This window comes from Homo sapiens, chromosome 8 (assembly GCF_000001405.40).
Source record: "Homo sapiens chromosome 8, GRCh38.p14 Primary Assembly".
Classification (NCBI taxonomy): Eukaryota; Metazoa; Chordata; class Mammalia; order Primates; family Hominidae; genus Homo; species Homo sapiens.
The window spans coordinates 59,954,951-59,969,517 of record NC_000008.11 but is presented as its reverse complement, the minus strand read 5'-3'; the positions used below and the strand labels follow the sequence as shown (position 1 = coordinate 59,969,517).

The window sequence follows — 14,567 nt, the reverse complement described above, 5'->3', positions numbered from 1 at the left end:
ATGCTGCCCTGATTATTATATCTAAATGGATGATTGGCTCTCTCCTGTCTCAATTTGGGTAAGTCACTTCTCCTACCATGGAGAGGAGTGACTGTAAGAAGTGTTTACTTCTGAAGTTCTGAACTCCTATAGAAATATCAAAATGAGATGTGTTCACCAACTGTGAAAACAGATCATTAAAAAAACTAGAAAAGATAAATCAAACAATTATTTTTAACTCTAATGTAACAACCATTTTTAAAAATAGTAAGGTCAATTTGTGTGTGTTTGATATTCCTAGCACACATTGACCTACTCCCCAGTTATAACTTTTCCCTCTCTTGCCTGACCTACTTCATCTTAAACATCACTATGGTTATGAAAATAAGGAACCTGATTAACATCAGTGGTGGTCACTGGACCACTGAGAACACATGCAGTGGTTTCAAAAGAAGAAATTGGGGACAGAACTAATAATACTGAAATACTGAAAGGTGGAATCTGGTTCTGAGTAATGAGGATGTGGTTTCTGAAATCATCTGATCTGCTCTACCAGAGCTGATACAACTTTTCTTTATGGAAAAAATAAGAATGAAAGTACCCGGTGGTTCTTTTTAATCTGGTGCTATTTTAAAATTGTATGACAGCGTTAATACTTGCTCTTTCCTTTCAATTGACTTCCTTGGGGATTTAATCTGTAGGTTTCCTCTTTCTTTTACTCAAAAGGAAGAACATTTTTTTTGTAGTGTCTATGCCACTAAATTGTCCATGTTTTTCACTACTTTTTCACAGCAGAATGATATTTTGTCCTGGTTTTTAAGTTTTATGTTTTTAATTTAAGGCTTATATACTTAGACATTGTCATTTCATATAAAAACATACTGACACTTTCAAAACTCATAATTAAATTGGATGAATAGCCAATTTATAAAATTGCTAAGGTTGTACAATTTACCTTTTCCTACATCTATTTAATTGAGCAATCTTCCATTAAAAGTTTAGCGGTGAAGTATTTTTCAAACCCCCACCATTTTTTTCCTCTATAAACAAAATAAATATGTTTATTTTTAGACAATCTTATATTAAATCAAAGGGGTATATCAAACCCTCTAGTGGAAAAGGGTGCCAAGAGAGATGTCTGCCACTGATCTTGTCTTGGGATAAATGTGTTCTCTTTCATTTAACCTACTCCAAGCCTGTCTCTGAGTCGAAACTTGTGTTGGCCACTTCAAATGACAAAGATACAACTTGTCTACTGAAAGGTGCTCTAAAAGATTACTGAAAAATCATAAGAAATTTCAGCTGCCTATGAATGTTTCTGGTAGATTGAAGAGATTGACCTTGAGACCAACCTTAAGCAATCTTGGTATTTGTCTCTCATATATTTCCCTGATGGGTATGAGTATCACTTGCATTAAAAATGATGGATGTTGGCAATTTCATATTAATTGGCACAGGAAAAAAATCTTAACACCTTCTGATGGGCTCTGACCAGAGAGAGAAAGAGAGGGAGACTCTATTGCCGCTAAATATGTTTCCTGGCAATTTTTGTGTAAACAAGTTTGAATTGGGGCCTTGGAATAGCTGAGAAAAACGTGTCATTGGCAATTGTCCTAGAATTACAAACAGTGCAAGAAAATGATGAAGTCACCTATTCAAGTAATCTCCAGGCTCAAAAAGAGAAAATAGGACATTTATTCTGTCTCACACTTTTCTTGGATCTGCTGGAGAGGAACTGAATCTCAGCAAGTTCTAAAAACAACTAGATTTGTGCTTATTCTTACTTATTCCTAGTAGAATTTCTCTCATCACAGACAGAATCATTTATCACTTTATAATGTGCATTTCCCCCTTACAGTCTCCATGTTTTAAATTAATTAAATGAACTTTAAAATATTTTAAGAACTCAGTACTGAGTACTTCTTCAGCGTGTTTTCAAAATGGGACTCTTTGGCATACTTTAAAGCCCTGTTAGTTGAGTGTGTGAGTGTGTGTGTGTGTGTGTGAGAGAGAGACAGCATGCATGCATGTATGTGTGTTAACCTACTGAGCCTTCTTTTTAGTATGTATTGAAAGTAACTTGGCAGAGGTAATTTTTTCTGAAAAATGTCTGGGTATATTATGGTTAGTCAGTTGTAGTATATCCTGCAGACCTAATAAGGACAAGTTATTGTTTGTTCATTCAAGCAGAATATTTACTATTTCACTTCTGTTCCAATATATTAATTTTATTCTTCTCTTAAGCTCATACCACACTCTATATTTTCCTTTGAGAGAGCCGTGGCAGATAGTAGTCTAAGCCCGAGACTGGAGTGTGGGGTGAGTGTGCATGGGGTGGAGGGTCGTGATGATTGTGTAAATAGGTCAAAGACACTATAGGCTAGATGTGAGTTAAATAATGAGTCAACCATTGTAAATTAAAATGACAAAAGGATGGCTTTATTTTCATATTACACTTTCTGCATGCACTAACAGAAAATGAATTTACTCTGTAAAAATATTACTAAGTGCAGGCCCAAAAGATTATTAACCAAAAGTATGGGTATTGATTGTATAGCTCAAGATTATTATGAAGCTGCAAAAAGTAGTTCTGATAGAGCATTTTTCAAAAAAATTTAATTGAGACAGATATAGTTCGCATTTAATAATCAAAAAGTCTCTATTTGCAAAGAAATAATGTTCATCATTGTAGTGAGTTAATCTGATTGGAAAATTCTTGGTCTCATTTGTGACACTGGATGTACCTCTTTTGGCCCTGTGTTTTTACTCCTTTTGCTACCATGCAGATTTGTGATGAAAAAGAATCCCCACATATCTCAGTTGTGCAGGTTTGGCCACAATAGTAATAGATCAGACTCAAGTGAAAAAAGAAGAGCCGTGAATTTTCTTCATACACTGTGGACTGACAAATAAATAGGTGCTTTTAGTTTTCTTAATGATAAAATCAGATCAACTGTTAGGGAAATTCAGTCAGTTGCTAGGTAGGCAAATGACAAAAACACACCCAGTTAAACAAAAATATTGATTCAAGGATTTTGTATCAAATAATAGAACTTCAAAAATGCCTGAATTAGCCAAAGCAGAATGGAATATTTGCAAACTGCAAGTACATAGCATTTCGAACACAAGGAAAATGATTATTTATAAAGACTTCCATGTTACTCTCAAAAATTTATATTCTAAACCAATAGAAAAGGGCAAAAGCACTGTTATTCTAATATCTTCTTTTCATTTTCTTGAAAATTTTATTTTGGGAAACTCCCTATCTGAGTTTTTAAGTATATAATGACCAAGAGATTGCATTATTCCCATTAGTTAAACAGTTAATTTAAAGAAATAATCGAAGAGATATGAGTTAGAAAAAAAGATGACTTGAATTCAGATGTGGGCAATTTTAATCAAGACGCGCTATATTCAGTAAACTCCATAAGATCAGTGAAGGGAAAAATGTATTAAGGTTAATCAGTTTTGAACAAATGTAACTAGTAGATAATGTGCCCTGTTTTTTTTTCACTATGACAGGTGTAATAAGCACAATCACTGTTCATCTATATTTCACTGGGCATAAATGCAAATTTCACATTTTCACAGAAGAGGGAATTTTATTACATTATATTGATTTAGAAATAATTCATTAACCTCTACTCCTTCTTTTTCTTTACATATCAATCTGTCTCTATTCAGGGCTTTATCTTCATTTTTCAAGTGGTTACTGTGAAGTGTCTTATATTGCAGGCTATTAAAAAACCGTCTTTTATATATTCAGGTTTGTCATTCTTCGCACAAAACTGGTACTTCTTTTCTGCACATTTTTGGATATTGTTTTGGTGTTCAGGAATGCTCGTTATGTTTTCTTGAAGTCAATTGAAGACAATTACATAGTCTCATATAGTGCAAAATACTTGTCGCATCCTTCATGGACCTTTACCAGTTTTTGGAAATGAAATATATTTATATGCTGATTTTTTCTTCTCCCTCCAAAATCAAGTCTATATAATGTAGATGGATCTAATGGGTCTGAGTCTTTTATATTCGATCAGTGAGTTTCAATGAGAGAGGAGAGGGATGTTATGATCCCCTCGCCCAACCTGGGACATTGGACAATAATATCTGGAGACAATTTTTATTGTCATGAGTGGAGGGTTTCTTGCTACTGACTTCTAGGAATAGAGGCCAGAGGTGAGGCTTAATAGTTTACCATGCATAGAATGACCCCTGACAATGAAGAGTTATCTGGTTCAAAATGTTAACGGTGTATGAAGTTGGGAAAACCCGGATTAGATGGTTTGCATTGAAGTCTAGAGTTCATTACTCTTTAGCAGTGTGAAATCAGATACAGCTTAACTTCCTTGTGACTTTCTTTCCCTTTCCCATAAAAGTTGAAAATTGAAACCCCAAATAAATAATCAGTGATGCACAAAAATGTTTATGCACAAGGATGCTTACAAAATTTTACTTATAATAGTAAAAGGTAGAAAACAAGCTAGATATCTAATGATGCAAGATTTTATAGAGTTAAATTATTGTTAATTCATAATTAAAATAATATGTAGCATAAAAACATATTTTAGGTGAATGTTGAAATAATGTAGAAAGTGTTCAGTGCAAAACGTGAATAAAATTATCATAACATGTGAAGTATACATAGTGATCTAATATCAGGAAAACATATGTGTTGTTTATTTATTCTCACAGAAAAAAACTGAAAACAAAATTTGGTTGCCTCTGGGTAGTGGCACTATGGTCAATTCTGCAATTAATATATACTTTTAAATTATAAAAATAGAAGTGACATTTTAAAAAGCATAGACAACAAAACTCGCTCTGAGACTCAAGGCGATTGGATGTGGTTGAGAGCACAAACCCTGGGACCTAACAGGTGTGAGTTTACATTTTTATCTTGCTACTTACTTGCTGTGTGACTTTGGGCCTCAGTTTTTTCACTTGTAAAAGTAATGGTCCCTTAAAGTGGCTGTTTTGATGCTTAAATGGTACTGTATATAAATCATCTGGTCAAATTTAGCTCTTGTCACCCTTCTTTAAATGAGATAATTTAAGGCATTATTCTGTGGATTCTTGAAGGTGTTTTCTTATTTATTTATTTATTTAATTAATTAATTAATTTATTTATTTATTGTGACAGGGTCTTGCTCTGCCACCCAGGCTGGAGTGCAGTGGTACAATCATGACTCACTGCAGCCTCGACTTCCCAGGCTCTAGTGATACTCCCACCTCAGCCTCCTGGATAGCTGACTATAGGTGTACACCACCATGCCCAGCTAGTTTTTTGTATTTTTTTTGTAGAGACTGGCTTTTGGCATGTTGCCCAGGCTGGTTTTGAACTTCTGGGCTCAAGCGATCCACCCACCTCATCCTCCCAAAGTGCTGGGATTTCAGGCATGAGCCAGCCCGCTGGCCTGTTTTCCTTTTTATTTACCCCCTATAGTGACCAATCCAGATCTTGGATTTTAGTACTGAGAAATGTACTTGCTGATTGATCTGTGGCTGCATTAGAGAACTTGGTTTGATGCCATATTCCCATCCCCACCACTACCCCAGCTTCCAGTTTCAATTCAATTTAATGTGATTCGATTCATAACTATTAACAGAGCACTTATGTGTTTCTCTAATAAATACAAATATGAATAAGACAGGATCCCTCTTTACCACAGTCTCAGGGCCTGGCAGGTAAGGCAGATAGAGATGAGAACATTTTGTAAAATTGGGGGCAGTACTAGGTACAGTTTTTAAGAATGGGAGAAACTAGTGGTGGGAAAGGAGACTATTCCAGGTGTTCCCTTCATGTTGCACTGACACCTTGAAAGTGAAGAGTTGAGGCATCTTCAGGAACTGCAAAAGATCTGATGTGGATGGCTTGTTGTGGACAGTAAAATAAGAATGAGAATTAGACTGTAGAAGAAGTCTTGGAGCAGATTAGAATGGTCCTTGACTACTGAGCTAAGGAAACCAGGTTTTATTCTGTGTGCAGTGGGGGAATCACTGAAAAAGTTCTTAATGGGGAAGTGGCATAAAAATAAACTCTGATTAGTGACTGGAAAGGTCATGTAGCTAAATTTAAAACCTGTTTTATCTTACGTAAAATAGGCTAACTTACAACTACGCTCAACTCCTCCAGGCAAACCACATATTTATTGATTATTTTTGTAATTAATTAGAATTAAAGAATTTTGGACAAAATTAATGGGAGCAAGGACAGTATCTTATGCCCTGGTCATGATATTGGTTGAAGATATAATGATGGTGATTGATTCCTGAATAAAATTATTATTTCTATCTCTAAAATGATCAGATAGAATTCATCTGAGAAATTCATTTATTATACAGTTGAGAAATAAATTAATATCAATGCTTAAATTATTAATTCTAATTCCAAATTTCCAAAAGGAAGAAGTATGATTTGGATACATACTTTTGAGTATATATGTCATGTGTGTGGCCGATCTGTAAGATTTACTTTTTAGGAGATGACACCCTTGATTTATAACATTGTTAGTAAATTCATTTTCAGAGAGAAGAAAATCTTGCTTCAATGGCAAGAAAAATTAGTTCTTAGCAATTCTAACTTCAGTGCTTATGTTATTAATTTTAGAGAATGGCCAAGGGAAGCAAATAAAAAGAATTTGCTTATCTGAGAAAAAATATACTAGACCAGAGAATCTGTCCACTTTCTTTTTAGATGATTCTGTGGAATATGTTGGCCCATTACCAAAATACATATTTTAAGAATTATCCTTCTTTCTAAGCAGTGTTTTGCAGTCCATTTCCAAGTCTAAGGTGATTTAAATTACATGATTTCTCTGTGCATTTCAAATAAGGTTTTTAATATTTTAGTTTTAAGTAATAAAATGCCATTCAAGTGTGTAATTTATTACTAAACCCATTAATATTTATAGCCCTAAAATGATTTTCCTGAATGGTGGGAAAAAAACCTCTCGATGTCATTTCTTGCCCAGGAAAAAAAAAGCAACAACAATGACAAATCCTGTGACAGAAATATATTAAATATAAACTTTTTTTAGATAAAGAACATAAACTTTTTCATGAAGTCATTTTCTATAGAATTCTGCACTCTGAAATTCTAAGTTAAGTTTAATTCATAGATTAAGTGTTTGGGGATATTTATGTGATTGTGCAGCATTCTCTGTAAACTCTGATTTTGGAAACTTTCTTTTGAAATAAACAATTCAACTGAATGAATGTTCCATGTTATGTATTTAAGAAAGAGATTATGATGTCTAGTGGCATCAGTCATTAATTTCATTTAATAAATATTTATCCACACATTAATATGCACCAGGCGCTGTTTGAGGCCTGAAAGTACAGCAATGGTACAATAAATTTCCAACATCTATAGTTTTATGGAGCTTACATTTCAGTGGAAATTGGGGACTATTTTGTTTTAATTTGTATTAATAAATGAAAAGCATGACTCATATTTTATGCATTTAATTTTTTCTCAAATGTTGTAAACTTTTGACATATTTCTACTGTGTGTCCAGGGCTGTATTGCACCACGAAGACGCTGAAAAGACGAATACCAGAGTCAATGACTTTGAAGAGTTGATGATCTGATCATTTCTTTATTTTTGTCTCCCTTCTGAGGACTCTATCTCTCACTTGACTTACCATGATAGGCCATGTGGTCCTATCTCTTCTTTCAGTTATTAACTCTCACAAGCCAGGATGAAATTAGAATGAAAACCACTGTTAAGTCATCTCCCCAAAGACCCACTTTTACCATGTCATTCTCTGCTTGAGAAGCTTTAATGTTCAATTATTTTCTATGAGATCAAGGCTGAATTCTAAACTCTGGTGTCACTCAGTATTAATCAGGGGAGCAGAACCATTGCATTTATTACAAGTAAGGAATTCATTTTAGGAATAAGACCTAAACAACTGGGCAAGAGAACTGGGGCAGTGAAGGTCTGAAAGATGAGTTGGAGCATGACAGAAGTCAGGTGGTGAGTCTGATGTCTCTGTTGGTTAGCCCAGCTGACAGGTGGGCTTTTTTAATGCTGTCTGATATACCTGGAATACTTATCTGCCTTCCCTTTGCCAATCTGCACACCTGCTCCCCAATTTAGATTATCCATTAAACCCCAGATTACAATGGCTGTGGCTTTGTTTAAAATTGTGATAACATTTGTGAATATAATATGTATTTGAAATTTTTGTTTCTACTATGAAATGGCTGCCAAATTTTGAGAAAGAGATGACTAACAATGTGGAAAAACAGATTTGCCTAGAGAAAAAGTTCATTGACCTTGGTTAAGAATGGTTTCAAACAAATGTTGAGAGGTAGAGTTTCACAGATTCATAGAGGATTAGGTGATCTAAAAATGGGAGAAGAAAAAGTAAGCTGGGTAAAGGTATAAGATTTTTAAATATGATGGGACTAGACAGATAGATGAGGAATAAATGGAAGGGAGATTCATCATGTTGCAATAAGAAGGAACAGGGGTCAGGCCTGGTGGCTCACACCTGTAATCCCAGCACTTTGGGAGGCCAAGGTGGGTGGATCATCTGAGATTAGGAGTTCAAGACCAGCCTGACCAACATGGAGAAACCCTGTCTCTACTAAAAATACAAAAAATTAGCCGAGTGTGGTGGTGCATGCCTGTAATCCCAGCTACTCAGGAGGCTGAGGCAGGAGAATTGCTTGAACCCAGGAGGCGGAGGTTGCAGTGAGCCGAGATCGAGCCGTTGCACTCCATCCAACCTGAGCAACAAGAGCGAAGCTTTGTCTCAAAAAAAAAAAAAAAAAAAAAAAAAAGGAACAGGGTTGAAAGCCAGATTTACCAGAAAGCCAAGGGAGTTGTGAGAAAAATAACAAGTTGAACATTTCTTTCAGTTCTCAATATGACCTCATATTGATATCTGTGAAAACAAACAAAGATAAGAAAGTGGCAGATGTTGTTATATTGCTTGACTGGGCCAGAACATGCTCTTCACGCTTTCCATATGTTAACTAGTAATCCTCCCCATCTCTGGAGAGGTAAGTACTCTTATTATCTCCACTTTACAAATAAGGAAATGTGGTACGAGCAGATTATTATTATTATTATTATTTGCTCACACTATCATAGCTATCAAAATATGAAGGTAGAATTTGAAGCCATTCAATTGGACTTCAGAATACATAGTTTTTACCATTGCACTATTCTCTATTTAGTAGAAAGTTAATTTGTGAAGTTAATAAAAGCAACTTATTTCCCTCCTGAATATCCAAGATACACCAAGACCAGAGAGTATTAAAAATTCTAAACATTCAACAGTGTCTCCCCATCAACTTGGAAACCAGGGGTGTTTCCTCTACCTTCCTACACTTACATTCTTAATTTTTGTTGTGCCCTTTTACCTGTCAATTTATCAAACTGGAGCAGCAAAGTATGGTCCGTAGACCAGCAGCATCAGTACAACTTGGGAGCTCGCTAGAAATGCAGTCTCCTACTGAATCAGAATTTGTCTTTACCAGGGGGTGATTCATATGCACATGAAAGGTTGAGAAAACTGCTTTAGATTGTCTTTTAGAAAAAAAGGTATTCACAAATGAGGGCCAGTACATCTTCACGACAAAATTTACTGCCCATTCCCACCTCCTACCCAATTCACACCAAACTTCACATAATATCACCTGGGAGTTTAGAAATAAATACAAATTCTTGGGTCCCTTTCTAGATGTACTGAATCAAAACTTTTCAGGAAAGAAAGCTAAAGTCTTTAAAAGTATCTTGAGTTTTTCTGAAGTGGGGTTAGATTTGGACACTTGGGTTGAGATTGTAACACCTCTTTACCTCTGTCTAGAGTGCAGAAGAAATGCATGATGAATCCAATTCATTTATCAAGGCTCAGAACAAAGATGGCCTTCTCTCTCAGGCTTTGCCTATGTCTTCAGTTAAAATCATTTTATTTCTCATCATGTGAAACATCCTTTGCTATTGTACCTATTACACTGTGCTTATTTGTTTACATTCCTATCTTGCATCCTGGCTAGATTTCTTAATAGGAATTCCATAAATTTTTATTGGATCAATGAATATATAACAAATGACATGCGTTATGAGCATATAGTACCATTTAGTAATAATGGTACTTTCTTACTATTGACCATGGCTGCTTGCTTTACCATCTACTATTTATTAGTGATAGAGTTTTTCATTCTTGCAGTTCCTTGCAGATGAATTATTTCATAGCATCATGTTAGGTTATCATTTTTATGACTAATATTTGTTTTAAATATTTGTTCTTATGTATAGGTGAAAAAGGTAAAAATACCAAATTATCCACTTAAATATATTTTATACATGGTTCATACATAATTTCATGTTAAGAAACTAACCAATGCATTTAGCTTTAGTTTGTTCTTAATTACAAAAAAAAAGGTATATAAGTTGAACTAATTCTCAAAGATCTGTTTGTTCTCTTTCTTAGAGCTTTCAGAATGCTCTTATTGTTTAAAAAATTAAAAAAAAACATGTTTTGGAAATTTTCTAAAGGAGAATTTCTTTAGAATCAGCAATGAGTAAGACTATACTTTGACTCCCATTTCTTTTCTTTCTTCTTAAAAAAAAAAAAGCATGGCCTTTACATAGATTTAAGGGCATCAGAAACTTCAGAGTGACTCATAGTAGCTACGTTTTCAACTTCCACTTCAAATTTCTGAATTTAGAATTTCCCTGTGGAAACCAGAAATTGAGTTTCTCCTGATTATTTAATTTATAATTGCTCCAGCTATTTAGCATGACAAAGTTAGCTGAAGCAATTTGGAAATTAGGCCGTGTGGTCACAAAATGACACCAACAAAAATGAATGAAAATCTCCTTTGCTATGTAATGTACAACTTCCTATTCTTAGAAAGGTGCTTCGCTACAGTTGGAATCAGATTAAATATTCACTACCTTGTTTAGATTCTTCTATTTATCCTAGGGTTTACTTAATTAACTCCACTGTTCCAATTGTAAAACACAATTGTCAATTTTAGGCAATATGATCAAAGGTGTAATTGTAGGGGAAATATGTAAGCTTTATATATCCCCTTTAAAGATAATCAGAGTAAATGTTTCCTTTTCCTTAGGAACAAATATACCTATTGACTGGGCCCAAGATGGGAGACCTTGCTTGAGGCAAACCTTCCTAACCATTAAACAAAACAAAGTTTATGACCCCAAACAGCTGTTACTAAGTGGAGGAGGAGGTTTTGTATAAGGATGACACTGAAAAATAAAACTAAAAATAGAATTTATTAATAAAATGTATAAAATTGTATTTTACATACATAGATAAAACTACACATTTACCTTACTTCAGTAGACGGTCACATTCAGAAGTTCAGAAGACAAAAAAATGTGAAGAATTTAGAGAAGTTCCAGATATAAAAATGATTTATAGTATTAAAAATAGAATCAATGAAATAAATACATAATGACCAGAAAACATTTTAGAGAAGAGAAGCACAGCTCCATTTATGTGTCGTCAAATCAATAGGCTTAAAAGATGTAAAACCCACCACACTTGATGAATAGCTTATAAATAAGTTTCCTCTTAGTGAACTAATCAGCAGTTTGAATCAACCAAATTTAGCATCACCTGAAGGAGAGGGCTAATTTTTAGCTAGAAACTTACAGGTTATATACAAGAAGAAAACGTGGCACTTGGAATAATCTTTTTTATTAATTGCTAAACATCTTCATTTCTAAGTCCTCATAGCAGCTATTTCAAAATTACCTTTAAAATGCTCCAGTTTGCTCTTCCTAGGTGATATCATTTAGTCCCACACTTTCAAATACCACCCATATGTATGCCGATGGCTCAAGTCTATTTCTGAACAAGATTTCTTACCTGAGCTTGAGTTTCCTGTACTCAACAGCACTTTGGACAATTGTAATTATTTGCCTCACGCTCACTGCATTCTCAACAAGGACGATGCAGAAATAGCACTTCTCCCAAATATGCTTTCCCTCGTCCTTAATGTGAATAACACAGTTCTTCCAGTTATTTAACTAGGAGTTCTCAGCATCATCCCCAATTCCTCCTTCTCTGTTAATCGATAACCCAGTCAAAGAGATTTTACCCCTCCCTACTATATTGGTTCCATCTCTTCCTTTCATGCTCTGAGTGAATCTGAGGAGCTCCTGGGGCAGATATTTGTCCTATCTCATCTCATCCTGGCTGTTACAATGGTCTTCGAAGCACCCTCATGTATAATTGTTTTTTCTTCCCTTCAATCTATTTTCCACATCGCCAACAATAAGTTTGTTTCAAAGACAGTCATTTGATTTCTCTTCTTAAAATTCCTTTCTCTGGGCAGCAGGATAAAATCTATCCTCCATGGAATGTCATTCCAAGCCATTTTGGATCTGATGTCTCCTGTAACTCTTACCTCAGTTCTTCGGATTCTCTTCTCATCTTTTAAACTCTTCTAGTACTAACCTTTCAGTTCCTTGAACATTCTGTACTCCCCCATGCCTTTGTGCCATTTTTCCTTCTATATTTTTGCCTAGAATGACCTCTACGTCCTCTCCATTTGGCCTTTTCAATTCACCATTGAAGACCTAGCTTAGCACAGCTTCTGCTATGAAAGCCTCCATGACCTCCCCAAGGAGGACAGACTCCTCAAGTGTCAAGGTGGTAGATGACAGTTTTCATTATTTAAAATTTACATTTCTTTAATAAATGCTAAGTTTAAATACTTTTATTCACTGTTGATTTCTCTGTAAGCTTAAAAAAGATGATTTTTTTTTTCTGTGTTCCTAGAAAATTATAAACTTCTGGAGATGAGTAACTGTGATCACTTCATCTCAGGCTGGAGTAACAGAGGCTTGATTTAGTGACAACTGATGGACAATGAGAGTTTCCAAACAAGAAGAAAAAATAAATAACTGGAAATCTTATTAGTATTAATGTATTAGCATTAGTATTAATGATGCAAGTATTAATTAATCCCACAAATACATTAAAATACTTACTACATATTTATCGTTATAATATGCATAACTCATTAAATCAATTATTTTATTTCTGTTTACCACTAAAGATTTTATTTCAGAAAATTTTTTTGCTGTTGTTTGCTTTATAGCACTCTCCCAAAGTGGTGCTATTTAAGCTTCTAGTAGATAGCTAATATCTATTCATTAAGCAGATCAGTCCCTTATAGTCCAGAATGTGTTTATCAAGATGACAGGAGCATTTCTGCGGAAAAGAAAACCATTTTCACATTTTTACTTGGAACCATATCACATATTGCTTGAGCCTTTGCTCCTATATTTTGTTATCAGACAACAGTCTCCAAAGATGGGCATTCCCACCTTTACATTTCTTTCTAGATGCCTTTATGAATTTATTAATGATTAATCAAACCATTTGTATGCATACACCACACCTTTTGCAATCACTTAGTTTGGAAATAACTTAGACTATCTCTTATAAATAAAACATGCAAAACAGACAAAATCAGTGCTTAACTTTTTTTTTTTTAATTTTACTTTACGTTCTAGGGTACATGTGCACAACGTGCAGGTTTGTTACATAGGTATACATGTGCCCTGTTGGTTTGCTGCACCCATCAACTCATCATTTACATTAGGTATTTCTCCTAATGCTATCCCTCCCCCAAACCCCCACCCTCCGACAGGCCCCAGTGTGTGATATTTCTCGCCCTGTGTCCATGTGTTCTCATTGTTCAATTCCCACCTATGAGTGAGAACATGTGATGTTTGGTTTTCTGCCCTTGTGATAGTTTGCTGAGAATGATGGTTTCCAGCTTCAACCGTGTCCCTGCAAAGGACATGAACTCATCCTTTTTTATGGCTGCATAGTGTTCCATGGTGTATATGTGCCTCATTTTCTTTTTTTTTAAATTATTATTATACTTTAAGTTTTAGGATACATGTGCACAATGTGCAGGTTAGTTACATATGTATACATGTGCCATGCTGGTGTGCTGCACCCTTTAACTCGTCATTTAGCATTAGGTATATCTCCTCATGCTATCCCTCCCCCCTCCCCCCACCCCACAACTGTCCCCAGAGTGTGATGTTCCCCTTCCTGTGTCCATGTGTTCTCATTGTTCAATTCCCACCTATGAGTGAGAATATGCGGTGTTTGGTTTTTTGTTCTTGTGATAGTTTACTGAGAATGATGATTTCCAATTTCATCCATGTCCCTACAAAGGACATGAACTCATCATTTTTTATGGCTGCATAGTATTCCATGGTGTATATGTGCCACATTTTCTTAATCCAGTCTATCATTGATGGGCATTTGGGTTGGTTCCAAGTCTTTGCTATTGTGAATACTGCCCCAATTAACATACATGTGCATGTATCCTTATAATAGCATGATTTTTAATCCTTTGGATATATACCCAGTAATGGGATTGCTGGGTCAAATGGTATTTCTAGTTTTAGATCCTTGAGGAATCACCGCACAACCAGTGTTTAACTTTTTAACTAGAGGCAAACTCATTGGCTGTGAAGCTAACAAGTATTCATAAAGTGTATTAGTTTCTCATTGCTGCTGTAACAAAAGTCACTAATTTAGGGGCTTAAAGCAACATAAATTTATTGTCT

The 14,567-nt window shown here is 34.9% G+C and overlaps 2 annotated features.

Annotated features, from left to right (window-relative positions):
- Window positions 265–434: an enhancer, noted in NCBI's record as "active region_27418". NCBI's record gives its function as "activates an Ori minimal core promoter by ATAC-STARR-seq in GM12878 lymphoblastoid cells {active_cell/tissue: GM12878}" and the evidence as "EXISTENCE:reporter gene assay evidence [ECO:0000049][PMID:35858748]".
- Window positions 1,354–1,648: a silencer, noted in NCBI's record as "tiled region #15202; HepG2 Repressive non-DNase unmatched - State 24:Quies, and K562 Repressive non-DNase unmatched - State 24:Quies". NCBI's record gives its function as "represses a minimal TATA promoter and a strong SV40 promoter by Sharpr-MPRA in HepG2 and K562 cells {active_cell/tissue: HepG2 | K562}" and the evidence as "EXISTENCE:reporter gene assay evidence [ECO:0000049][PMID:27701403]".